The sequence below is a fragment of the Homo sapiens genome, chromosome 1 (genome assembly GCF_000001405.40).
Source record: "Homo sapiens chromosome 1, GRCh38.p14 Primary Assembly".
Taxonomy (NCBI): domain Eukaryota; kingdom Metazoa; phylum Chordata; class Mammalia; order Primates; family Hominidae; genus Homo; species Homo sapiens.
This window is the reverse complement of record NC_000001.11, coordinates 44294117-44321378: the sequence shown is the minus strand read 5'-3', so window position 1 is coordinate 44321378 and position 27262 is coordinate 44294117. Positions and strand designations below refer to the sequence as shown.

Sequence of the window (27262 nt, the reverse complement as noted above, 5' to 3'; positions counted from 1 at the left end):
CCTCCCTTCTCTCCCCTCTGCCTCAGCCTTGCAGCCATTTTGCCCTTTCTATCTCTGGGAATAAGCTCCTGTCAGCTTCCTCATCTTTGGAGATCAGCCCACGGAGACAAGGCAACCACAATCTTTGAATCTCTCTGGCATGAAGTCTGACTGACTTGATTTGGTTTTCGGTCCTGATGTGTTGGATTGAAATAGATGCTTTAAAAACAAGCCCAATATTAGTGGGTATGTTTTGCCGGGAGGATACCTGGCTTTCCTGGGACATCAAGGAGATTGACCATTTCTCCTTGTGTTTTCCCACCCATCAATTTCCTAAGTGCAGTCAGGTGTCATCCGTTTCGTGTTGCTTCTCCAGGCTGTCTCTGGAGAGAACCACTTTACCTTGATTTTAATGATACTGGAAAGGTCTTCTCCAGAATGAAGGACCTGGGGAAGGGGTGCTGCTGGAGCTGACTATTAGGGTCACTGAATAGGCAGAGCCCCCTTCCTTTCTCTCTGCAGTGGAGGCCCTTTCCACATGCTAATTTTACTCAGAGAATTTTGCTTTTATTTATTTTTTTTATTATTTCCTATTTGTCTCTTCCAGATGTTTTCAGGGCAGTTTTTTTTTGTGTTGTAAACTAATTCCATTCATGTTTTAAAAATTTATGAAAGCGCTAATAAAAATGTCAAAGTGGTAAAAATGTTAGCTTTTCCTCTGCTTTGATTAAATTTTGCAAACTGTTTTTGAATATTAAAAAGCAATAATTTTTTTTATTCTCTCTCCTCGCTTTCCCTCTTCTCTCTGGTACGCACGTGCTCTCTTCTGCCCTCTCCCCACTCTGGTGCGTTCCTCCCTTCCCAGGAGCGATGTATGAGGCGTGCTGCACAGCCAGCGTTCTGCAAGCCTGTTTGCACACCAGGACCTTGGTGCTGTGCATCTCTATTAAATAGCGGAGACAAATTAATCTTAGAGACACCAAACAAATTGTCACTCCTTGTCCTTCTCTTCCATTATGTTTCAGTGGACTGGGAAAGGCTAGCTAAGCGATTGGGCTGGCGTTGTAGAGGTAGTGTGTGCTGCCTGAAAGGTGGGAGGCGCTAGCTCCTATTACTGTTACTCTTTTCTCCTTCTCTTTGGGATCCCCTTTGGCTTTATTTTTTATCTTTTTTTGAAAAATAAGAACTAATGAAGAAACTTACCAGCTTGGTTCAAACTTCATACAAGGAAATCTATGCATTGGTCTGATGGCTGGTTGTCTATATGGCAGGAGATCAGACCCATTTCAGGACAGGGACCTGGGCAAGAGAAAGAAGGGCGTATTCTTAGGGGCTCAAGTTAGCAAGCCTCTGCTAGAGAACCAGTTGGAGAAACTGGGGCAGATGATACCACTGTCTTCCTTCCCATTTCCAGAAACAATGGGGATGAGGGCTGTGTTCAGTCCCTGGAACCTATGAGGATATTAGCAGTGGGAAGGTTAGGATTGTAACTGCTGGTGCCGTCTCACTCAATCTTGGGTTTGGCCTGGCAGGAGCTAATGAACCCAAAACACTAATGAATCCAAAACACTCATTCTTTGTTGACTTGGAGCTACTGTTGGAAATGGTTGATTACAATAACTTATTTTTCCTTTTCTGTATCTTTGGCACTCCAGGAAATCATCGAGTTCCCCATCCTAAAGCTAAATGGCCGGACCATGGAGATTGAGTCTACCTTTCACATGTATGTCCAGCCTGTAGTCCATCCACAGCTTACCCCATTCTGTACAGAGGTAAGGGCCCTGGAAGTGGGCAGCAGGGGCTGCTGGGAGGGGAATTTTGGAATCCTTGGTGCTCTATATAGGCCACTTAGAGAAAGCATAGGGCTTATCAATCCTTAAGGCAAGTGCACACTAGACCTAGCAGTTAGGTTTTATGAAGTCTGCCACTCCACTCAGGTCACTGTTGTTACTGGGGACCCAGGGAGAGCAGTGGCTTAGTCTACCCCTGCTTCCCCAGCATCCCTTCCTGGTGACCGGCACTTGGAGACCAGGAGCAGAATGGCATTTCTGGGGTTCAAGTTCTTTCCAGTTCAGTTTTCCTTAGGGCCCCTTGGCAAGAGGTAAAGATTTCAGCCACTTGGAAGGCAGGGTTATGTTCAGGCCTTCTTAGCTTTCTGGCATTGTTACTCTGTCCTCCTGTAAAGTGGTCCTGTGTGAAGCGTAGGTTGAGTTTGTCGAAGGTACATTCTGTCACCGAGGGAAGAGAAGAGTGGTCTCAGTGAAGCATGAGACCTGGCTGGCCAAGGCTGAAATCTGCTTATCCTAGGTGGGTACTGTACTTGGCCTCCTTGTCAGCAGGTTAGTATTGGTTGCATTTTACAGATTGTGAAACTGGGCCTAACTGAGATTTTAATGATTGCTGGAGGCTCAAAAGAGCCATTGGCAGAGGGGAGGAGCCCCTGCAAGTTCTAACTCCCAGAACTGTGTGAAGTCTTCTGTGGCTACTTTTCCCTGTGACATGTCATGTAATGCACTCAGTGGTGGCCAACAGGCTGTGGTGCAATCAGGGGTTAAGAATGTGTGGTAGCAGGGGTGATGAGAATCTTTTAAGAGTCTGGGGCTGAGGTACATTAGAGACTTTGTGCCTTCATTTAGAGACCTATCTTCTACATGTGAATGAAATAGGTGAAAAAGGGTTCTTGAGTTATCCCAAACAGTCTCCTTGGTAAGAAGGCTGGGGATGAGCCTGTTTGACCCTGGTGGGCCCTGAGGCTGACTTAGCCCAGACAGGAGGTCTCGAGGTTGCTCCTGAATTCGATGCCAGTGTTTGCCAGCTGACCCAGGTGGGGCTTTTGTTGCAGGCATCCATCTGCCAAGGCGCCTAGCCTCTTAAGCCTTTTGTTATTCCAACTAATGATGTTGGGTTCTGGTTTTCGCCTTCCTCTGCCGGGGTTTCCCCTTTCCCCTGGGATTTACCTATACCACCAGGGGGCGCTAATCTGACTTTTCTGCCCTTTTTGAAAAATCACCATTTTAATGATGATGAAAATTCCCTTGCTTATGCGAAGGGAAGGAAAGACTTTCTTTAAGCCAGCCAGTTACCTGAGCCCTCCACTGGCCTTGAAAGGCTAATGTCCTCTTGTCCTTACGTAGACAGGCAGGCCCAAATTTTAGTAAGTTTGCTACCTGTTTAGGAATGTAACAGTATTCTGCTGGAGCTGGACCCTGGGCAGGAGTGGATGCTTGAGAGTATCGGAAGAAGAGGGACTTCTTTTAGAGTAAGGCTGCTGCTGCTACTTTTTGTGGGAATGGGAGGAGGGATTGTGAGACTATGATGAACAGTTTCTTCTCTCTAGAAAGCTTCACCCAAGGATGCACATACATAATTTGGAGGGGAGTAGGAGTGGTAGTTGGGATCTTTATTATGAAGGCTGTTCTAAAAGTGAAAATGTGGTTGTTCTGTAGGCACCGGGTCTGCCATTTTGTCTCAGGTTTCCAGAGCTCAAAACTCGCCATGATCTTGTCCATCCTTTTTTGGCCAGCCTCATATCTCTCTGCTTCATCTCCCACCTAGCTCCCCTCACCCAGAGGTTGCCCTCTTACAGTCTGTCTTTTCACATGATGGTCCTCCTGCCTGCACAGAGTTCCCACTCTCCCCGCCAACTCCTGCTTGACCTCCAGGACTCTGCTTAGGGTCACTTTCCCTGATCCCCAGATTGAGTTGTGCTTATTCCAACATAGAACTGATCAGATACTTTATACTATAATTATTTATCTGTCTTTTCACTAGACTATAAGTTCTTTGAGGGAAGAAACTAGACCTGATCCATCTCCATCCCATCATTAGGGTCTGCTACCAAGTAAACACTTGATACGTGTCCCTTAAATGAATGAATATTGTCAAGGAGTTATTTTCTGTCTCTCCCAAAAACAACTGTACTGCTGACTTGTTATTTTGAGTAAGTAAGTAAAGTCTTGTTTGGAAAACCTCAGATCATATATATTTTGCCCTGTCTCCATACCAGATGGAATTGTATCTCCGAGAGGCATAGACACAGGATGGGGGCTGTCATTCTGAAACCTCATCCAACCTGGCAGTTGGTGCCTTTTGCGGGTGGGGATGGAGGTCATTCCAACCAGAGAAAATCTCTCATTAGTAAGTGTGAGGAACAGTCCCAAACCTCCAGATTATACTTAAGTAGTTCCTCTGGCAGGATTTTCTCTCTTGTGCACAAGAAGTTCTTAACCCCAGTGTGTGTGTGTGTGTGTGTGTGCACGCACATGCGTATGACATGTGCACACACATGGGCACATGCTTGGGGAGAGAAGCAGGCTCAGTGCTGGACAGTAGGAAGAAGGATTCCAGTTTGAACAAGTCTCTAGCACACACAGAGAGACTCCTACTTTTACTGCTTCATATTAGGAATGTGTTAGTACCCTTCTTGAGGTCCCTTCTTAGTTTCAGTTGAGAGTCGGCCTGGAGACGTGGTTCTGACAGAGATAGGATGGGATGTGTTTCATTCCTTCCCGAGCCCTTTCCCTTTGACCTCTAGAATCTGCTCCAGTTCATCAAGTCTCTATCTCTAGCAGCTGGGCTGCTGCACAGTCCCTAACCATGTCTTCTTTTTGTTGTTGTTATCATGAAAAAAAAACTAGAGAAATACTCATTTTGCTAAGTGCCAGTAAAGGGCTTTGTCTTGCACCTGTACTTATAAAGGGTGAGATTTATTGGTCTCTTTGTCTGAAGAGAAAGAGTGGGTCTGATTATCAGATTGCACACCAGAGACAAGTGCTTATGTAATCAACAAACTGTCTTGGTGTCAGAATACGATTGTGTTGGAGATAAACTGTGAAAGGAGAAAGCACTGGATGCTGACATGCTATTGGCACTGAGTTTCCTGGGCTGCTTCCTGTAGTTGCTAGTGTTCTTGATGAAGCCAGCTCATTCCTGGACAAAGCCCTTGTGAGGGTAGGGGATCTCAGTAACCAGCCATGTTATCAGTCAGGGTCAAAAGCCCCTTGCCTTGTGGTTTCTGAGTCTGGAGAAGTGGGAGTTAATCTGTAATCCCTCATTGAAAGGAGCCACAGAGCACACATTAATTCTTCCTCTCACCTCTCCTGCTTTAAGTGGCTAAGGTCTCTGAGCTCTGTTTAGCCTGTGAGCCCTGGTTCTCAGCTTAGTAATACTTGGCTTTGCTCTAGTACCTTTCATTGTAAGGAGTGAAAGCTTTTTACAAACATGTATTAACCCAAGTGGGACTGGGCTTAAACTGTAACATGAAGGATTTAAGTTAGGCCTAAGATAGAACTTCCCAGTATTAATTTGATAAAATTGTCTCGTTCCCTCATAGCATCCTGTATAAACCTTACACGTGTCTTATAGGTCATTAGTATCAGGTAGAGGAACTAATTTTTACTTAAAAAAAAAAAAAAAAGATGGGGTCTCTCTATGTTGCATAAGCTGGTCTCAAATTCTTGGGCTCAAGCAGTCCTCCTGCCTTAGCCTCCCAAAGGGCTGGGATTGCAGGCTGAGCCACCATGCCCAGCCCAGAACTAACTTTAATTTCATCCCTTCTTTGTCCAGTGCCTTGGCAGAGCTGAAAAGGGGTGGTCCATCCTTGGAGGGATTAATACAGGAGCCTGAGGCCTTCCCTGAGAAGGCTTTGTCTAGCTGAGCCAACTGCTCAAGCCCCTGTGTCTCTGGGGGCTAAATGCAAATCCTTGAGGAGCTCAGCTGTGAGCCATGCTTTACTGAGCCACAAATGAAAATGGCTGTTGTCTGGGAAGCATGGTGAGAGAAGGAGCTGACCTCACTAGGCTCCTCCCAGGCTGATGATTCTAGGATCACTGAGCACTGGAGTGGAGTTTGTGAAAGCCCCAGGATGCTGGAGCTCCATTTCCCCAGCTCCAGGTGGGAGAGTTGGGTTTAGTCTGCAGTGAGGCATCCTGCAGCAGAACACCAGAGCAGCACCCTGGTTTTCCATTTTGGTGTAGTGATTTTCTTGCCCCACATCAGTGATTTTCCTGGGGCCCAGGGCAGGGGCTTATGGGGTACACACAGGTGCTGACCTAAGCCTTATCTCCAGGGAGGGAGGGCTCTTGGCAAGGGTGCATTGCTTTCCTGTGTGAGTGAGACTTTCTTTAAGCCCTTGGCATTCAGCTCATTTGAGAGACCCTTGGTGGGAGCCAAGAGAAGGAGTGGACCTAACCTTGCCGCCTGAAACTCAGACCAGACACAAGACTAACATTTGGACCCTGGAGCTTCCTAAGAAGTGAGAGTGGCTGTGGTCCGCCTTTTCCAGGATGGTCCTGATGTTGAGCCTCAGCTCCAGGCCTGAAGATGTGTCTAAGCCCTAGGCTTAACAGGAGAGAAGCTGGACCAGAATGGGCAGCGGTGGGCCTGTGGGTGTCTGTCACTAATCTGGGGTTGGTAATAAGCCTCCTCCTGACTCTCTTTGGCCCCTTCATGCCTGAGGCAAAACAGGGCAACTGCCTGCTCGGTTTGCGGCTCTGGAAGATGTAGAGGCTCTCGGTACTAGTTGGGGCTGGGTGTAGGAGGGGGCTGCTGAGAACATGTATTCCATGAGGGCAGAGTTTTTACATTTTTCTTCACTGCCGGATCTCTAGTTCCTGTAATGCGGCCCAGCCCGTAGTAGGCTTTCTATGAATAGTTGTTGACTAAATAAAAGGAGGAGTCCTTTGTACTCCAAGATTATTGAAGCTGCTGACTGAGGGCACTTCCCCACTCCCAGCCCCCCAGCCCTTAGCGGACCATCTTTTCTTCTCTTTGACTCAGGCCCTCCCTCTACTGGGCAGTTCTTTGGTCTTCCAGGCAAGGAAAGGGTGTGGAGGTGCCAGCCGGGTGGGCATGCTGTGGGTTAAAGCTTTGCAAAACAACAGTGTAGTTAATCTTTCTAATTTATTTTCCTTTTAGACCATGGGAAGTCTGTAGGCAGCAGCTGTTACCCAATTAAAATACAGATTAATATAAAAACAGTTTCTGGAATATAAAATAGAGTGGCTGTGTCCTTACACTTCCTTAAAATACCACCTAATAATGACTTGATGAACTACAGAAACCCACCTAGAGGAGCTCAGCGTTTTTAAAATGAAAATTTCTCCCTAAAAGGTGTATATTACCATTCCATGTAAGTCACCATGAGAAAATAACCTTCCCTTTTAGAGCCAGCAATTTCTGTGAGTTGGGTATTTGGTATTCATTAAGTGTAATTATAGTTTAATTGGAGTTTAATCTCCCCCCCCCCAACACACTTTAAAAAAAAGAAGTTTCCAAGCAAGTCTGAGATACTGCTCTTTCTGGAAGTAGCCAGGGACATGCTGGGGGTGGTGATTTCCAGTTGGTGTCCAGGACATGGGGGCCTCATGCCCTCAGATCCTTGTAGGCAATCTATCCCCAGTCTTTTTTTTTTTTTACTTTAAACCAAACCAAAACAAAGCAAAACAACAAGCTTGTTTGAACCCAGGCCTGACCTAGGTGGAGCATAGGCCTGAGTCAGAAATTCTCTAGGTCATAGTCTGAACATTAGGCCTTTTTGTCTTAGTTTCCCCATTGGTTAAAGATGACTCTGTCTCTTGCTTGGCTAGTTCATATTGATGGCCCACGTATGCAGGGTGAAGGATAGGAGCCTGTGGGACTTCATGGATGTTAGGGAAGGTGTTAGGGAGAGTGTGGGAGGGGGCAGTGCTGGATATCAAGGCTCAGAGAAGGGGTGGACTTGAAACCAAGTGTGCCTCTCCTGTATGAGCACTCCCCAAGTTTTACGGGAACTTCTGTGAAGCTAGGAGCTGAATTTACTTGAGACTGTAATTGTGGGAAGTTATTGAGCCTATTGAATACAAAAGACATGTAACATCAATTTGTTTGCAAACTGAAAGCTGAAACAGGTGTGAGAACATGCCTTGTGGAAACAGGTGTGAGAACACGCCTTGTGGTCAGCATGTGTATGTGTACACCCATCTCAGGGCAGGATATTATGGGAGAAGCACACATTGTGTCCTGGGTCCTGGGACTTTATTCCCAAGTCTTCTAGGTGGGCTCTGAACCTAAAGCAGTGCCAGATCAGAGCCCTTTACAACAGAAGGAGAAAAACAGAAAGGAAGGGGTCCTGTTCAGCCTTGAGTCCCTTCACCCTGGTTTTCTACCCATCGGCTATTTCTCTTTCCTTTCAGCTCACCGGGATTATTCAAGCCATGGTGGATGGTCAGCCAAGCCTGCAGCAAGTGCTGGAGGTAGGTTGAGTGACCTTTAATTCCTGACCTCTGACCCCTTCCTGCTGCCTTTCTCTCCCTCCCCTCCTGAGAATGTAGCCGTGTAATTTGACTATGATTATGGCTTGATTAGAATAACATTTGCTGTCACATCAGTGACATGCTGTTGAGAGTATTGAACCATTGATCTGTCATCTCCAGCTGTTCCCGTCAGGGTTTCTGACAAGATGTCCCAGTGCTGCCAGGAGTCAGGCAGAGGGGCCCCCACCCCTTCCTGGCCTATGGCCCTATGCTGGCTGACTCTGGGGTAGCCTATGCTGGGTGGGCTGGGGAGTAGGGGAGCTGAGCTTGGTACTGTGGGACTAGCCCCAGGGACTGGAGGTGTTTTTGTTTAGCTTTAGTGTTGGCTTCTTGTGGCATGTGAGCACTTCATTAACTCACCCAGAACTCCGCATCGATGGCTTTTGTTTGCTGAGAGCTCCTCCAGGAGCTGTGGCTGGGCCCGCCTGCCCCACTGCAGCTTGCCGCTGGATGCATTGTGCCTGTCGGGTGCAGAGGCTGCACTGGGTAATGATTCCTAATCAGAATAATTACAACAATTGCCTATGTGAGGGAAATCAAATTAAAGACTTGAAAACCCTTGGCAGAGACCACACTTCTAGGATGTTCTCCTCGGGGAGCTAGAAAAGGTTAAGATGCTGTTTCTTGCGCTGTAGCCCGAGGGAATAAGGAAGGGCAGTGCTTGGTCTTAGCTTGTCTCCCACCCTCCTCTGGCCTGGAGGTTTTCACAGGGGGAGAAGGTCCCCCTCCCATGTCTTTCTCTATAGGGGGAGGGGAGAAGAGAAAAAGCCCGTGGATCTCATTAGGTGCTTTATTTATTTTTTAAGACCAATAAAGCCAAAGCTCAGACCTTATCAAGCATAGGAGAAAGCAGAGTATCTGCAGGAATAGCAGGGCACATCTGCACTGGAGGTGTGCAGCCTAGAGGAAGTAGCGTAGTGGCAGGGAGCAGGGCAAGATACCTTTTTTTTAGCCGAGAGATCCTGTCCCATGGAGGAGAGAGATGCAGATTGAATTTCGTGGGGCCCCCAAGGATGGAGCCAGGGTCAGAGAGGCAAGTTTAGGCTCACCTCAGTGGCAGAGTGTATTTCCTGTCCCTGGGAGTGTGGGAACCTAGGCTGTGACCAGTCTGGTTGGGAGTCAGAGTTTGGGCACCTGCGGTAGATTGGGAGAAGATAAGATGAGCTCTGAGATGCTTCCCAGCCATATTGACCATCTTTTTTTTTTGAAGAGATTCATTCCTATGACCAAGGGAGCTCCTTAGCATGGACTGCTCCCTGTTAAACCAGACTCAAGGAGACAGAGGGAACTCATTCTTTCCTCTGTCCCAGCCACCATCCCCAGCCAGGACCTGGCTCCTGAGGGATGCCAGAAGACAGGCACCTTTTTCCTGGAACATCTGTAGCTGGGATCCTGGAGGAAGATACTTGCTCTGGGCCAGCAGCAAACCAGGACTCTTGAGGTTATGGGTTTTTTTTCTCAGTGGCCCCAGTCGAGGAGGAGATGTGGTCTTGAGGAGGCAACCCCCTGTTAACCCTAGGCCAGCCCTGGAGCAGGGTGCTTAAAGAATTCTGGGTCTCACCCAAGAAGCTACTTTCTGCTACTTCTGTATACTTTGTGGGTAAGGAGGGAAAATTCCTGGTATCAGCCTGAATAGAGAGTTTCTGGCAGGTAGGAGACCGGACCGGGCTCTGCTTCATCTCATTAGTCCTGAGTTGGTTATGGAGATAAAGAGCTCATTTCTTGTCCGAACCAAGGCCCTTAGCAGGCAGCCAGCTAGATGTTTACCTGACTCATGGTAAAAGGTGCTCACTGAATAGCTGCTGTGCAAGCGAATGGCCGGGGTCCTAAGATTCCAGGGACCCCACTGAGTGTTGAGTGCTTCCTGTGATAAGGGCCCAGTTTTGCTGAGTGTGGCCTCCTGTTGTGTCTTGCTCTCTCTTTCACTGTGCAGGAGTTGGGGCACTGGGGAGCCCCTCTAGTATGTGGGGCACTTAACTTGGGGATATAAAACAGTGAGCTTGGGGGAGGTTATGCTGATTTAGGGAGCCCTAGTTTCACCTTACCTCTTTTCTTAGGTGACCCTGGGGAAAGGATTCATGGATTCCTGCACGTGTGTGTGTGTGTGTGTGTGTGTGTGTGTGTGTGTGTGTGTGTGTGTGTGTGCGCGCGCGCGCGATGTGCACATACATGCAAGGAGTTGGGTCAGAGGAGAGAGACCATTTAGCAGTGGAAGATCCAGAATTTATCTTTTGGGAAGATTCTTTGGCTGAGGAGGATTTTCTGGTGTACAGACTGTAAAGAGGGTTTAGAGACCACATGGTCTGCATAGTCTGGCACCGGGGAGCAGCTCTGATATTCTGGTTGGTAGAGCTGCTATAGCCACGGAACTAGGTAGGATCCTTGGCCTTAGTCAAGGATGACTTTAGCATGGGCCAGGCCTCTAGCATCTCAGAGGTATCCAGGGAGCCAGCCTATACCTGCTAGAAGTAATCTTACTTAAGATACTTAAAGATATCCATGGGCTGTCTCTTTCCTGCTGAGCACACGAGGCCGTTCACGGTCTGGCCTAACCTAGTCCTCCAGCCTTTGTCCTTTCTTTCTATATACTGTGGACTTAAGTCATCCTAAACTTTTACCTACTCATGTTTTCAGTCAGTCAGCAAATATCTCTTGAGTAGATCCTATGCTGAATGAGAGATTAAGGCAGTGAGTAAGACAGAGTTCCTGCCTTCGTGGTGCTTATATTCGCAGGGAAGGCAGACATTAAACAGATAATTGCTTCAAATACAAAATTATTGCACATGTACCTTTGCCTCTACCTGTAGTATCCTCTACTATGTTCCACCATGTCAGGCTCCTAGTTCAATTATCTTCTTTGTGAAGCCTTTTCTGACTCCTTTCCCTGTGAAAGGTAGGGCTAGCCACTTCCTCTTCTTGGTCCTGTAGCACTGTGGTCACGTCTCCAGTGCTGGATCTATTGTATTATGATGATCTGCCTTTCTCCCCTTCTCAGCCTATTACCTGTTTTGTGGTAGGTACTTAAAACATTATCACATTTAATTCTCAGAACAACTCTGTGTAAGATTTTATAGATGAAGGAAACTGAGGTTCAGAGAGGTTACATGACTTTTAAATGACTCCCCATCAGTGACACAGCCAGGATATGGAATAGCCAAGGGTTGGAGGGTTGGAATCCAGATGTGTCTGACTTCCAATCCTGCATTTTTAATGACTATGTGAGATAGCCTTAAAAAATAATCTCGTGGCCGGGTGTGGTGGCTTACCCCTGTAATCCCAGCACTTTGGGAGGCCGAGGCGGGCAGATCATGAGGTCAGGAGATCGAGACTATCCTGGCTAACACGGTGAAACCCCGTCTCTACTAAAAATACAAAAATTAGCCAGGCATGGTGGCAGGCGCCTGTAGTCCCAGCTACTCTGGAGGCTGAGGCAGGAGAATGGCGTGAACCCGGGAGGCGGAGCTTGCAGTGAGCCAAGATCGTGCCACTGCACTCCAGCCTGGGTGACATCTCTTGCATGGGTAGAAGCAGTGGTGTGACTCCCTCTCCATGCCTGGGGTCTTCTGTAAAAGGCAATGCTTCATGAATTCTTTTTATTTATTATTTATTTATTTTTTACAGAGTCTCGCTCTGTCACCCAGGCTGGAGTGCAGTGGTGTGATCTCAGCTCACTGCAACCTCCACCTCCCAGGCCCAAGCAATTCTTCTGCCTCAGCCTCCCAAGTAGCTGGGATTACAGGCGTGCACCACCACACCCAGCTAATTTTTGTATTTTTAGTATGGATAGGGTTTTTCCATGTTAACCAGGCTGGTCTCAAATTCCTGGCCTCAAGTGATCCACCTGCATCTGCCTCCCAAAGTGCTGGGATTACAGGCCTGAGCCACCACACCCAGTCTTGAATTGTTTATGATATTTCTCTTGTTGTATACTGATTTTAGTATTTGAATTTCCAGTGTGAACACAAATAAACTGATCAAAGGGATGAAGGGAAAGAAAGATTTAGAGTGTTTAGGAGCAGTTTTTCTCCCTTTGTAGCAATTGAGCTCAGCCTTCAAAATATTCTGCTGAATTTGAATCCTCAACCATGAACAGGAGAAATACGAAATTGGGGGCCAGTTTTGAACTTTTAGCAACTGGAGCAGGCAGCACTGTCCCAGGTGTCAGGATGGGGCTCCAGTCCAGTAAAGGGGCCTCTTAAGGTGAAAATGTTTGTCACCTTCATTTGGTGAATAACCAAATTTGTAAGTTTGGTTAATAAACATTTGGTAGAAGAGTAAAACAAATAAATGAATGAGTGAAGCTGTGGGTTGGAGCTCCTGTTTGGGGCCTCCTACTACCCTGTTCTGATGCCCCAGGACAACAGCCTGTCTGCTGGGCCAGGGGACCAATGAGAGGAACAGCCAAGTCAGAGCAAGGTATTTGAACTGATTTGCTGGGATCTGGAGCAGGCTGCCAGGCAATAGGCGAGTGTAGGGGCTCCCTCCGGCTACACATTCGGGCTGCAGGATCTTCCTAAGGGTTTGTCTTCCAAATGCCTCCGTGGTTCTGAGCCAAGCCTGAGAGCCCACAGTGGAGCCATGGCTGGATAAGATTACAATTTTCTCCTGTTCTGATTACAAGCAGCTTATCTGTGTTTTGCTGTTGTGGCTCTTCACAGGCTCAGGGAAAAAAAAGGAAAATCTCATTTGTTCTTGTGTACTTTTCAGAGGGTCGATGAATGGATGGCGAAGGAAGGCCTCTTAGATCCAAACGTCAAGTCAATTTTTGTCACCTGTGGAGACTGGGACTTAAAAGTCATGTGAGTATGAGAAGGGCTGCTTTGCTGGCAGGGCTTGGAATCTGTGGGACCAGGTCTGGCCTTTTGGAGGCTTAAATGTCTACAAGGCAGCTGGATCAGGGATTCTTCAGGTCTTTGAGGCTATCAGGGATAGAAGACGGTTGGGAGCCCTGCCTTCTGCCTCTCTGGAGCAGGGTGTGGGCAAGTCAAGGGCCTGCCTGGATGGTTGGGGCCTTCCTGCCTTTGCCAGGTCTCACTGCTCATGACAGCCCTTCCGATTGCTGGGGCTGTGTGTTATTGCCCTGGAAGGGAGGAGTTAAAAGAGTGTCTTGGAAAAAAAAATTTTAAGCCAAATACCATGTTTACTATGTAATTAAATATAGTAACTTATTTGTCAACCATATAAAGTAGGCATTATTATTCTTCCTATTTTATAGCTGAGGGAGTAAAGGTACAGAAAGGTTAAGTAATTTACCAGAGGACACACAGCCAGGATTCAAACTCAGGTCCTTGCTCTTAACTATTATACTATGCTGCCCCTTTATCTGGCCTGCAAGACCCTGGTGAACCAACTGGGAGCCCAGTGGTGGGATGAGAGAGGGCTGCTCCGGGAAGCTGCCCACGTCACCAGCCTCCTCTTTCCTCCTTTGTCCCCACTGCTTTTTTACCTTTGTCTCCTGATCCTGTCCCGGTTATGGAAGACAGAACCGGTTCCTTTGCTGGGTTGACACTTGTGCATCTTGTCTGCCCTCATGGATACATGGCTTCAGATGGCCCCCAGGGAACCGAAGTGGGATGGAGGTGGTGGGGGCACTGTTTGCTGAGGAGTCATAGAATCGATTACCTCTGTGTTCATTGTGACTGAAGGTAGCAGCAAGTATTCCGTGTGTGTGTCTCTGTGTGTGTGTGTTTGTGTGTGTGTGTTTGAACTTTTGAGCATAAAGTGGGATGTTGCTGAGGGGTGTGGTGTAGTAGCTCTGCAGTAACATTTTCTACCACATCAGGTGTCATCTCCTCACCAAGGCCCTTTGTAAGCCGTTTGAATGCTGGGCATTGAGGTGAAGTTATGTACCCAGGTGGGTGTCAAGCCTGCTATTGGACCCCAACTTTCTAGGTGAGACAGGAGGAAGAAAAGGCCCCAAATCACATGAGCACACAGAGACCTCATCTCCCACACCCATCAGGTGTGTACACAAACTGACTGCACCCCTCTTGGTTTACTCCAGAGGGTCTCCATATTCCCACATGACATCTCTTTGTCAGGGAAATTATACAGGCTGGGACTAGAAGCAGATATGAATCAGAGGAGGAGTCCATGGAAAAGGAGTAGAGGAAGAAGACTCTTGTTCTTGTTAATAGCGTCCTGGGCAGCTTTGAGTCCTTAAAGTGAGGAAGGGACTTAATGTGGATTTCTGTAGCCCAAGAGAAGCTACTCAAGGTGGGGCCAGTTTCAGGCTGATACCCAGAATTCTGGGGTTCATATGGCCCAGGAGGAAGGCCCTTTGGCCCAGTCCAGAGGTCCACTTCCTCCAGGTAGCCTCACCAGGACTCCCTTCATCCAGTGTTGTTCTCTCTTTGGCGTCTTCACCTTCCAAACACAGACATTTCAGAATCTTCTACTTTAACTGTGCACGATGCGTACATATATGTGTATATGAAAACTTTCCCGTGCATGAGGTTGGAGACTATAAGCTTGGAGTTGGTCTCCCCATGAGATGGAGAGGGAATTTCAGAGGGTGCTGTCTTCTTTTGGTCTGACCTGTTCTGTAGCACAGTGGGCCCTGGACAGGTGTTGGTGACCCAGGAGATTGCCCTGCCTCTTCCTGAAAAATGATATCATCAAGAAAAGAGATTGAGTTGTGGAACCCAACCATATATGAAAGGAAGCCAAGTCTTAATGAGCGCATACCTTACCGCATCCGCACCTTCTGACTGCCGTCTCTGGTGGGTGGTGGTATTGTCTTTCTTTTATAGATGAAACAAACCAAAAACCCCTGTGGCTCAGAGAGCTAAAGACGTGTAGCTAGACAGAATTGAATTCTAAGACCGTGTAGTTTCCAAAAGAGATGGGTAGGGCAGACTTTGTGGGCTGGTTTGGGTTTGGACTGGGAAGGCTGATGAAGCTTCAGAAAAGGGTTTTCAGAAAGGAAGCAGGTGGCAGGGCTTGGGGGAGGGAGCTCTGTGGCTGCCTCTTATAAGCAGGTCTCTGCATAACTGCTGGGAAGGCTCTTAATTAAATGTGTAACAAAATAAAAACAGCCGGAGAGGAAACCTAAGTAGTGCTGCGTGACAGCGCACAGCTAATCGGTGTTCCTGGAACCTCGGCAGAGGCTCGTCAGATGGCTCTCGTCAGAGCCATCACCTTTTTATGCGCCCGGTAAAGGCTGCAGATGAGCCTGACAAGGGTGGTGTTAAATTGACACTCACAACTTGTTAGTCTGTGGCTTACTTCTTATTTTGACATCCATTTTCAGATTTAACTAAGTCTTAGGAATTCAGCAAACATTTTCATTTCACACTCTAGTTTCCGGAAGCCATGGTTCCTTCTCATTGCTGTCCTTACCTCCTCCTCCCCTTCTCCCCTCAGCAGCTTCACATCACTTTTGTTGGAAAGGGGCTGATAAGTGGGGCACTGAGAAATGGGAACTGAAGTGGCAGCATAAATCCCACTGGAGAAAAGAAATCTGCTCCCATCCTGACAAATCATTTTATGTCCATCTTTTGTCAAAGCCAGATGAGTTGATTCTCCAAGTTTACGTGGGCTTTGTTGTGTAGTCACAGATCCTGCTAAGGCGAGTTTTTATTTAGTGATGTGGATTTAATTTCCCCTCTCAATTTTTTCAAGAAACAACACTTGTTGTGGGTCTGGCTCTTGGTCAGCTTGCCTTCCCTACCTGACCCACTTTTTCTTCGCCTTGCTTGGTGTTTCTTGAAGCTTCCCATAGGGTTTGGTGTTGTTTCTCTGCTTACCCAGGTAGAAAGTGCCACTTTCAAAGGGCTCCATCTTTGGTATGGTGGTGGGGTTAGCGCTGGTGTAGACTGAGAAGGGACACCTGCACAGGCACCCACTTGAGGAACTTAGATTTTAGCCTGTAGCTTGAAGATCCAGGTTCACCAGCCATGTAGCACAGCACGGCTGAGAACCTAGACTAGAGGCTTTCCCAGTGGGCCGTGAGTCTGAGAAGAAGGAAGATTGAGAAGAGGGAAAGACTGGAGGGAAAGAGCTGACCTGAGGGAGGCCCTAGCCCTTAGTGCAGTCTGGGAAGAGGCCCCTTTGGAGAGGGTAGGATAATCAGATGCTGTTCTCTGGTGGAATAGGGGCCAGGGGCCTGCTCAGAGTCTGGTGAGAGGACCCTCACTTAGGCTCAGCCTCAGTTTTGGAGCAGGAAGTTTTCCTCCCCCTTGAGGGAGGAGAGAGGTTGAACACATAAATGCAGGCATTTGACTTCCTTTTTTTCCCCTGCCTTCTTGCTGGGGTGTGCATACTACATTCTGGCTGTGCTCTGCAGGTGTGGACCTGAAGTTCACTTCAGGTTTTAGGAGGTCTGGAGATGGAAAGATACTTGCCCAGATTACACTATCACTGTTGGAGATGGGGAGCATGCACTCAGCAGGGGCTACTGAGGTTTCTTCGAGGCTGCTGTCAAGCGGTCAAGACCACTGAAGAGACTGCTGCTACCTGGAGTGAAAGGTGCCACGATGGAACCACGCACCTGGGCGAGCACTGTGGGGTAGTGACCGTCCTGTGGGGATGTGGAAGATGGCTGGAAGGGTGGCCTAGTGACGTGCTTGCTGCGGGTCGGGCTGAGTCCTCTTGGCATTGCTCAACAGCTGACTACTTCAGTCTTCTTGAAATCATCTTTATCTGTACTTTTGTTATGTTTTCTGTTTCTCTGGCTTCTCCTCCTCAGTCACTTGGGTAGATATTAATACTTATTTCCTTCCTTGTTTTCATGTTGGTGTTTCTTAAATAGTGGTGTTTCTTTGATCTCTATCCTGGTTGTCTTTTCTGTTTATTCTACACATTCACACTTACCAGAGTGATCTCGTCTTTGCCATAGCTTCAACTATCCTCTGTATGCTGATGTCTTCTAATCTTTTTCTCCAACTGGAGAAAAGAAATCGGGCTCATCTGCCACCTAAACGCCACACCTGCGTATCCAGCTACCTACTCTACATCTCCACCTAGACGTCCATAGGCCCCTTCAAGCTCAGATGTTTATCTTTCTCCTCACACCCTGTCCTCCATCATTCCCTCAAATAATGACTGGCACCACCTACTGAGTTGTTCTGTCGGAAATCTGAAAATTATCCCTTCTCTATCCACACCAATTAATTGCCAAATCCTGTTGCTTCTGCCTCCCAGAGGTTTCTCAGATTTATTCCTTTCTTCCCATCCCTACTGCCCTGCCCTAGTCAAGATGATCATATTCTTCTTGGATTGCTACAAAAGTCTTCTAACTAGTCTCTTTGAGTCCAGTTTTGCTGCTCCTATTCCATTCTCCTAATTGCAGCAGATTATGTCACCCCTCGGCTTAATACCTTTCAAGGTTTGCCCTTGCCCTCAAGGGTAAAGTCCAAACTGTTTATTGGGACTTTCAAGGTTCTTGCTTACATCTTTAGCCTCACTTCTCATTACTCTCTGTGGCACCCCCACACCCCTCCCCACCAGCCACATGCATGAGCTGGCCAGTTCCTAGTGATCCCTCTTCTTTCTCTAGGTGCCTTCCTTTGTTTTCCTGGAGCACATGTACACATTAATACATAAAATGGTGCTGTGACTGCCTCTACTTGTCTTTCTCTCGCACTAGATTGTGAGCACTGTTGTAACCCTAGGACAAGGACAAGGCTTGACACATAGTAGTTGTTCAATAAATAACTGTTGAATAAGTGACAACTAAGTAATGGAGTGTTCCTGTGGAATCTCTGCTCAGGAAGAACAACAGAGGACTGTTAGTAGGTAGATTTAGGAAGCATTCATTGCCAGTGTACAGGACAAATAGACTAGAGGAGGAATTCTCAGGCCTTGCTACACCAGCCTGAATGTGAAGAGTTAGAGAACTATGCTGCTAATGTCAGGAAGCCCTGGATTTTCTCACTGCCACTGTGTGTTGGGCCCTCCATGGTGAGTACTGGGTGAGATAGCCCACAGGCTTAGGCCAGGGAGGAGGAGCTTGGTCCCAGGAGCAGTGCGAAATGCTTTCTCTGAGAGATTTGTGCCTCCAGAACTGAGGGTTGGGACTCCTGGAAAAGTGAACATCAGAGAATAAAGAGAGTGTTTATTGAGCACTTATTACTTACCAGGAGCCCTATTGTGCTGTTTACACATATGATGTCATTTAGTCCTTACCACAGTTCTGTGGAATAAGTTCATTTTATAATCCTTTTTTAACAAATGAGGAAACTGACGCCTAGAGAGGTAAGTAATTTGTCAAGGGCACATAACCTGTTTGTGGCAGGGCAGGGATTTGAACCTGAGCATTCTGACTCTAGAACCATGTGTTTAACGACAGTCCTGTCTGACCGTCCTCCTTCATGGGCTGTGGTTTGGTGATACACGGTGGGAATGCCCCTCTCCTCTCCTTTGTTTGCACTGAGTGGCAGAGCCTCAGGATGTTTTCTGACACCGTGGGCTGTTGGTTCCTCATTTGATATCGGTAGAGGTGTGGACTGTTAAGTTCATTTGATATGGGAGCCCAGTTGGCCAGGAGATGTGGTGGGGATGATTAGGGGCTGCCTGAGAGCCTCCTTCCAGGGTTACAAGTTAATGAATCTTCAGGTCTGTTTTAAGGAAACCTCAGCCAACTTCACTTTGGACACCTCTATTCTGTATTTATGTTTGGAAGCACATGGGGCATCGCACCGTTGCCCCTTGCCCACAGGTGTACCAGTTGGTACCAGCACTGAGCTGCATCACCTTTGATTAGCAGCCTGCTGGGGGAAGGGGCTTGAGTAAGAACTCCCTGCCAGTCCTGACTTGTCTCATTTCCCATTACTTTTATCTGTCATTGCAAGTGCTTGGGCTCCCCTCCTGAACTAATTAAGTTTGCATGTTTTTAGACATATTGCCAAATAGGGCTTAGCAAAGCAGAACTGAGCTACATCTCTTTCTGAGTAGGGAAGGAAAGAGATATGAATGCTTCTCCACAACGGCCAGGAAGAAGCATGGATGACATGGAGTGAACGTGTGCAGATGATAGGCATTGCCTGGCCTTCCTAGGGACACAGCAGGCCTGCCAGGCAGCCTTCTGATTGGCCGACAGGGACAGGTGAAAGCCCACCCTCCAGCTCTCTTAGTGAATTGGGCATTCTAAGGGGGCTGAGAATGGAAAGAGGGCAGGTTCTGAAGTATTTTTCTCCCAAGCACAAGCGAAGTTGAAAGTCATATTTAGTGATATTTGCATGAGGAATTTGTAGGGCTGTGTGCTGTTTGCTACCAGTCTGAATCAACCTAGCTCCTAGGCCTACAACCACCTATGTGGCTAGCAGAGTGCAGGGTGACCTTTCCAAGTCTGTGAGAAGTACATCGGAAACTTGGATAGCCAAAGGCCCCAATTTCTCTTTTTACCTAGAAGACCGCAATTCCTCCTCAGCCATTGGAGTGGGTGGGTCAGGGTAGTGGAGGGAAGTAGAATAGCGTGCCCAGAACCTCCCCACCCTGGAGGTGGGGTTCAGCATAGTGGATCGTCCTAGTGAGGTAATGGCTGATTGCATGTTTTTGTGTCAGACGGATGCCTGGAGCCTTTTCCCTAGTGTGGGATGGCCTGAGGTCTGAGATGCCCTGTGGCAGTACATATTTGGGTCCTATCCAGGTGGCAGTTACAGGGGCAAATTATGTCATGGCCTCCTTCTCTGAGGTAAGGAATGAGGGTATTGCTTACCACAAAAGCAGAAAAGCCAACTGAGGCTGTAGTCAGGGCCTCAGTCCTGTGAACATGAGGGCAGTGGGTCAGCTTCCTGGCCATAAAAAGTCTCTTGATGGGTAAGGTTGGCTCAGAATCAGCCCAGGCTCCCAGTGCACAGTGGGGGCAGGGGGAGGAGGTTCTGAAGGTTGTATAGGAATTCTGGGCCTTAGAGTTGTAGTCTGAGCTCAGAGAGAGTGGGAACCAGACCTTCTGCCCTCCTTTCAGTTTCCCTAGAGCCCTCTGTCAGCAGAGGTGCACCGGGTTAGCCCCAAGAAGGCAGCGTGAGTTGATGGGGTCATGTTTCAGCTGCAGCTAATCCAAGTCACTCGATATAAATCTCTCCCTGCTGCCCCTCCCCTCCCTCCCATCCCCAACCCACAGACAGGGAAATGAATCCTGGCCCTCACCCTGAATACATCATGGCAGGCTTGCCTCTAATGAGAGAGGGCCATTCATTGTGGGGTGAAGCTCCCTGCAGAGCCCGGGATGCCATTAATTAAAGAAGAGCCACCTGAAGCCAGTCGTGCAGTGCAGCCTGCCACGCTCAGATGGAGTGGTGGTGGGGTAGCCTCGTTAGCCTGACAGCTCCTTGGGCTGAGAGTTCTTGGGCTTGGAGGAGCTAGGGGTGCTCCGCCTCTGCCTGATGCCCCTGGGGCTAGCCTACTCACAAACATGAAAGCCCCCTCCTGCACATGTCCCCGGGCCCAGAACTGGCACTAAAGGGGCTCCTGATGGTGGGCTTGGCTGGGGATTAACCATTTCCTAGATGCAGGCCTGAGGGTAGGAGCAGGTTTCTGTGGAGCCAAAGCATCTCTTCTGGTTCCCAACCTTGGCTCCCTTCACACTTATCCATGTGATCCTGGAGCTGCAAGTCAACAGGCGTCTCACCCCATGTCCTTCCCTCAGAGCCTGAGTTTGGGATAGTTGCTCTGCTCTGGAAGGACTTTGTGCCTCAATGGGGACTGGGAGAGAAGCTCTGCTGTCTGATCAACAAGCACAACCCCTCCGTGGCAGACAGGGCCTCTGGCATTTTACTTTCTGGGCACTTCTAGGCTGTAGGGTGGAACCCCAGTGGCAACCTCATTTCTTCACCCACTAGGAAGGTGTCAGAGGGTCTAAATCATTGTAGTGATTATAGGAACCCCTGGAATGGAAATTCTGCTCAGTGAAAACCCTGATAAAAGGTAAAGGTACTTGCTTAATGACTGATCAGGCTTCAAGATGTTCAAGGCAGTAGGAGCCTCATGCTTTGGCCTGAGTTGATAACTGAGTGGTTCTTTACTGCTTAACTGGTCCAGAAGCAAGTGTTGCTGCCTTGGTTCTGGCCCTGGATTTGATATGAGGCTCTCCCCTTGACCATGGATGAGAGTCTTATCACCTCCTCCTTGCTGGCTGGAGGGGCTGTATGTTCTGAGACTTTCACCTTAGCCCAGAGTTGGGCTAACTCAGCCGGTCTCTGCCTGGTTTGTCAGGAAGACAAATTGGATCCTATGTTGGTGGCTCTTCAGGGCAGTCTTTGGAAGTCTGGTTCTGTATTCTGTGGCGGAATCCAACAGACAGGCTGCTTCAGAGGGCCTCAGAACCAGCTGGGCACCTGGCTGGACTGTATGACCTATCTCTGCTTTCCTATAGCTCACCTGGCATGGAATAGAGGTTCCATGCAGCTTCCCACCAGGCCACAACCTCCTAGGTGGGGGACCCGGGCTCTACTCTTTTGTATTTTGAACATTTCTCACCTTCCTAGGCCCATTTGCTTGGGCCTTTCTGACTTCTGTCAGATAGAGAGTGAAGGCTGGAAGACCTTTTTTCCCAAGCTCCAAGAAGGAACCACTGGTGCTCCTGGAAAATATTTTCCTTTGTATGAGATATTGCTTAGATCTGTGTTTTTTTAAAACCCTTTTTGAACATCAGCTAGTTTTTGGGTCTTTAAAAAAAATTGAGGTCTGGTATAGTGGCCCACACCTGGAATCCCAGTGCTTTGGGAGGCTGAAGCAGGATTGTTTGAGGCCAGGAGTTTGAGACCAGCCTGAGGTAGCAGGGCCCTGTCTCTATTAAAAATAAAAATAAAAATAAAAAATAACCTGGTGTGGTGGCACATGCCTATAATCCTAGCTACTCAGGAGGCTGAGGCTGGAGGATTGCTTGATCCCAGGAGTTTGAGGCTGCAATGAGCCATGATTGTGCCACTGTACTCCAGCCTGGACAACAGAGTAAGATCCTGTCTCTTAAAAAAAAAAATTGAGGTATGAAATAGGTACAGATGCATAAATACACAAATGTGAAGTGTATATAGCTCAATATATTTTTATACAAGTATACACCTGGGTAACTACCACCCAGGTCAAGATCAAGAACCTTTTTCATCATCCCAGAAAGTTCCCTCGTGCCTCTTCCCAGTCAGTGATGCCTTCCCCTTGCCAGCTAACCACCGTTCTGACTTCTGTTAGTTTTGGTTAGTTTTTACCTATTGTTGGCTTTCGTATAAATGGAATCATGCAAGGCATACTCTTTTGTGTCTGACTTCTTTCACCCAGGCTAGAGTTCAGTGCTATGATTTTGGCTCACTGCAACCTCTACCTCCGTGGGCTCAAGTCATCCTCTCACCCCAACCTTCCGAGTAGCTGGGACTATAGGTACATGCCACTGCGCCCAGCTAGTTTTTGTATTTTTTTTTGTGGAGACGGGGTTTTGCCATGTAGCCCAGGCTGGTCTCGAACTCCTGAGCTCAAGCAGTCTGCCTGCCTTGGCCTCCCAAAGTGCTGAGATTACAGGCATGAGACACCGCACCCGACCTGTGTCTGACTTCTTTTGCATAACATAATGTATAGGAGATTCCTGTGCATTGTATGTATCAAGAATTTAGGCTTTTTATTATATTTCTGTGTAGTATTCCATTGTATTATACTACATTTTATTTATTCTTTTTTTGTTGGAACATCTATTATACTGTATTTAGTTATTTAGTATATGTTTGCTGAATGAATATGTGAATCTTCAATTTAATATGAGAATCTCCCTATGCCCATCAGCTTGTCCCAATCCCCCTCACCCTTTCAAATCTAATTCCAGTCCTTTGGCCATGTGGTCTTCCCTGTCTATTCTGGAACCCACACTGTCCTCCCTCTTCTCTGAGGTCTTGTGATAGGGAGAGACTGGCCCCTGTGGAAGTGGCCTTTGAGCTGTATTGACTCATTTATTTATTCTTTCAGCAGATGTGTTGACAACCTGCTATGTGCTCTGCACTGCTCTAGGTATTAAGGATACAGCAGTGAATAAAGAAAGAAAACTTCCCAGACATCCTGCCTTCATGGAGTTTGCATTCCAGTGCTTGCAGCTGTCTGCCTTTTGGACCTAATGCTTGAAGAATCCTAGTCATGTCCAGGCTCTTCTGTCCTTTGGGATTCTGCAGGAGCTAGATGGCAAAGCCCTTGCCACCTTGGCAGGACTTCTCTAGGGCTTGTGGCCTTTTATCTTCCTTTTCTGCTGATATTGGTACGGGTGACATTAGCTGCTGTTGCTGCTGCTTGGCAGTGAAAGGGTTTCTCAATATTGGTGCTTCCCTTCCACTATCCTGGAGTCTGATTCCCTCTGTGAGAGGAGAGAATTAATCTCCAACTTTCCATGCCTGTAAGGTGAGTGACCTCTGTTTTGTCAGCGCTTGCCAATCTGTCCTCTAATTCCCAGCCAGGGTAATGGAGACATTACTTTGTGCTAAAGCAAACCACCAGTTCTCCTAGTGCAGATGCTATGCAGATCCAGGCACTGGGAAAGACAGGTCACATGCGGAGACAGCTCCATAAGTGTCTCTTCACAGATGCAGAGGCACATGAAGGCTACAGGGGTGTTGGCACCTGAGCCACTATGCTCCTGAACTGGGGCTGGCAGATTCAAGAGGCAAAGATGCCCTGCCATCATATTCTTCTTATTCCCCAGCCATGCCAATAGGGTGGCTGCTTCTGCTTGGTCTGAATTAGGTTTCTTTGGTCGGGTTCCTAAGAGCACATGAGAGGCTGTGAACACCCCAGTGAAGATGATGAGTCAGGGAGCAGAGGTCTTAGGAGTTGAAGGCTGGGGAACTCAAGGCTTCACCTGGCATAGTGGCCCATGCCTGAATGATTTGTGGACTCTGGGGGCTTAGCTTTGTAGGGCTTTGGGAAGGGCAACTATGAGTGGGTGGGATAAATTCTCAGTGTCCCTGGCTAAAGGGTGACACAACTCAGACTTGATAGTTCTGTAAAACTGTTTCTTCCAAAGCTTGCGAGGATGTTGGTTTGGGGAAGAAAGCCAGCCAGCCCAGAGAATCCCGGGAGCCTGACAGGCCTTTTTCTCTGCGATTTCTTTCTCGCAGGCAGCCCGAGGCAGCCTGTCTCTTTGTTAACAGAGTGACAGCAATGTGACACCATGGAAATAATTACTAACAAATCACGGTGCTGACTGCAAACAGCTCTCTGTCTTCAGAGGCATGTCAGGGTGCATTAGAGCAGGACTGGAGGAGCGGTGCATGTGGGGGCTGAGGCACAGCCTGCACTCAAACACTCTCTTCTTCCACCACCCTGACCCCTTTCTGCAATATCTGACTTTCTTGCTCTTGGCCTTTCCCAACTAGGTCAGCTAAGGGGCAAGCTGGACAAGTGGCATGTAGCTGGTTTGGCTTCCTCTGGGCAGGTAGCTAGGACTCCCATCTTTGCCAAGGAGCACCTAGGTAGTGATGAGAGCCAGGAGTTTTCCATTATGGGGCCCCTAAAAGGTGGAAGGATGCTCTATTTTTCTGATTTACTCTCTGCCATTGAGACCAGCTTCACCTGCCAGTAGTTTTGGGTTTTAGGGTTACAGAACATTTGCTTCAACTGGACCCAGATTGTGGAGGGAGCCTTGCATCTGTGTTGGCTCAGCTCTGGTTTCTTCTTCAATTGCCATAGTCAATTTTTGGTAAGTCGACATTGTCCATTCCCTCTTGGTTAGCAGAGTGATTGCTCTGACTGTCAGGACTGTAAATAATGTTCCTGGTGTATGTGGCTGGAGGCAGCGCGTGGGGTGGGGAAAGGAATGGAAGGAGGAGCAGCATTCTGGCTCCCTCGCTCGCCCCCTCCCCTCTCATACAATATTTATCCAGGGATGGGAGTCAGATGCAGCGACCTCAGGGGTCACCCAGTTAAATAGCTTCTGAACCTCCCTGCATTCTAATTGCTGCAGTTGTCCTTTGCTCTGGAGACTTCTCCTCCCCATTGTCTGCTGAGGCACACACTAATGGCTGTCCTCCCTGGCACTGCTGGGAGGCACGGTGGAGGGGGGTGGAGAAGAGAGCTCATTGCTACCTTCCTTTCCCCAGGGATAAAGGAATCTAGGGCCTATTAACAAGTGGCTTTAGCTAGGACGAGCACAGTCCCTTGCCTTCCTGGCCCCCTCCCTAAACCTAGCTGGAGAAGGAGGCCCACGCAGTAGGCTTGGTTGATGGGGCCAAGGGGCTTTACCCATTGTCAGTCCTATAGCCAGAATCATGGGACTAGTGATTCCTTTACAGGCTACAGGAAGCCAGGGGACAGACCCTTGAATGCTCAGCTGATGAACATCATCCTATGTTCCCATGGTCCCACACACAGGGTTTGGAAGCTTCTAATGAGTGATGTTTCCTGTTGAAATTTGTTGCATTTTTCCCAAAGATTGGCCAAATGCAAAAGTCTGTTTGGTCCCCTGAAAGTTGATTTAGATGATTGCTCGTGGTAGCAGATGTGTCCCATTCATTGATTTAAGAGTGTCATGTGCTATATATACATCTTCACGAGGACCTTTCAGTAAATATCAGTTACCCTCCACTGCAGCTCTTCTCTCCCAAGGAATCCTGTTGGAAATTGCCATTGAAGGTGCTGACCCCAGCATATCCCGGAAGTGCTGGCATTCCGGTAGTAGCCTAAAGTCAGCACCTGTTGAGAGCTGCTCTGGGCCCTGTAAGTACTGTGCTGGGGACTATGGGGACTGCCAAGTGATCAGGACAGAAAGACCAGCACACATATACCTAACTATAGGGTAAGTAAGGTAGAGTATGAAAACACTACAATGAAGGCACAACACAAATGCTGTGAGAATCCAGAGGAGCACTGTAGAGAGATGGAATGGTAGTATTTTTTTTAGTACTAAACTTTTTTTTCTTTTGAACAGAATTTTAAAGCCCAATGTGAATCTGGTTGAAGATGGGGAAAAGCCCTGCCCATTCTTCCTCTCCCATTCTTCCTCCTTTTCCCCCAGTCCATGAAGTAGCCTGATGTTCCTCCTTAGAACCCTAGAACTCCATGGAGCACACTTTAAAAATCACTAGCCTATTCTAATGCCCGCCCAGAAGTCTTACTCTGTATAGGACAAGTGCTTATACCTCTTGAAGGTGTCAGGGGAGCTGGAATCAGGGCAGAGGAGACCAGCTAGAAGGTTAAGGGTACAGCTGTGTCTTGAGTACCTATATGAGAGCGGAGGTCAGACTGCAACCCAGATCCTGAACGCTAGGAGGATGCCTCTCTGCGGAGCCTCCAGAGGGCATCATAGGCCACACAACGGCAGTTCAGGCATAGGGTCAAGATGGCCACAGGCCAGGGGAAGACTGTAGTGGGATGAGTGAGTTATCTTGGAGACAGCTCAATCTGCTAAGGAGCTCCTGGTTTCCCTGGCCAAAAAGAGAATAGCTCATTAGCTGAGGCACTGACCACAGTGTCTTGGAAACCTCCCATCACTTGCTCAGCCTCCTCTCCATAGCCACTCCCTACTGGGGCTTCTGCCATTCCATCTAGGAAAGAGAGCTCTGGCCAGGCCCTGGTGGCAGCTCCAGCACTTCTACAGTCATGACAGATGGGGCACTGTGCCTTTCCCTGATGAGTTGCCATGGAAAGGACACCGGAGAGGCACTTGTCTTATTATTTCCCTAGAGAGGGGCTGGGGAGATACAAGTTACAGAATTTTAAGGACTATTTGTGGCACTGGGGAGGTGCTTGTCATATGGTTCCACAGCGTGTTTGTGGCACTTGTATGCTTCATATGGTCTCCATAGGGAAGAAATGAGAGACAGTTGGCAGATAGGATAAAGAGCCATGGATCAGGGAGGCGCTATATGCATATACAGTGTCTTTTGGAGACTTTGAGCAACTTTGGCACTAGGGATTTGAGCAACATGGCACCAGCAGCCTGGACCATGGAGCATCCCTCTGCACTGCCTGTGTTCTGGTTTCTGTTGGGAACTCTCCAGAGTAGCATGTCTGGGAACACTTCCAGCTGTGCCGCCAGACCCAGACGCAGGTGACGGCCTTTCATCTGTACTATAGGGAAA

The 27262-nt window shown here is 48.0% G+C and overlaps 1 protein-coding gene across 16 annotated transcripts in view, besides 2 other annotated features; it reads left to right on the top strand.

Annotated features, from left to right (window-relative positions):
• ERI3 (ERI1 exoribonuclease family member 3) overlaps nucleotides 1-27262 on the top strand; it is a 134210-nt gene that overhangs the window by 33901 nt on the left and 73047 nt on the right. For all 16 annotated transcript variants that reach the window (XM_017002305.2, XM_047430152.1, XM_047430144.1 and 13 more), the window contains 3 exons: nucleotides 1635-1751; nucleotides 8151-8210; nucleotides 12978-13069. In XM_017002305.2, coding sequence (XP_016857794.1) covers nucleotides 1677-1751; nucleotides 8151-8210; nucleotides 12978-13069 — 227 coding nt within the window. In that variant the 5' untranslated portion in view covers nucleotides 1635-1676. The remainder of the gene's footprint in view (nucleotides 1-1634; nucleotides 1752-8150; nucleotides 8211-12977; nucleotides 13070-27262) is intronic.
• Nucleotides 6555-6724: an enhancer, noted in NCBI's record as "experimental_8150 CRE fragment used in MPRA reporter constructs". NCBI's record gives its function as "activates a minimal promoter by MPRAs in K562 erythroleukemia cells, with activity observed for both the introgressed and non-introgressed 1:44780412 variant alleles {active_cell/tissue: K562}" and the evidence as "EXISTENCE:reporter gene assay evidence [ECO:0000049][PMID:34662402]".
• Nucleotides 22988-23282: an enhancer, noted in NCBI's record as "tiled region #3045; HepG2 Activating DNase matched - State 8:EnhW". NCBI's record gives its function as "activates a minimal TATA promoter and a strong SV40 promoter by Sharpr-MPRA in HepG2 cells {active_cell/tissue: HepG2}" and the evidence as "EXISTENCE:reporter gene assay evidence [ECO:0000049][PMID:27701403]".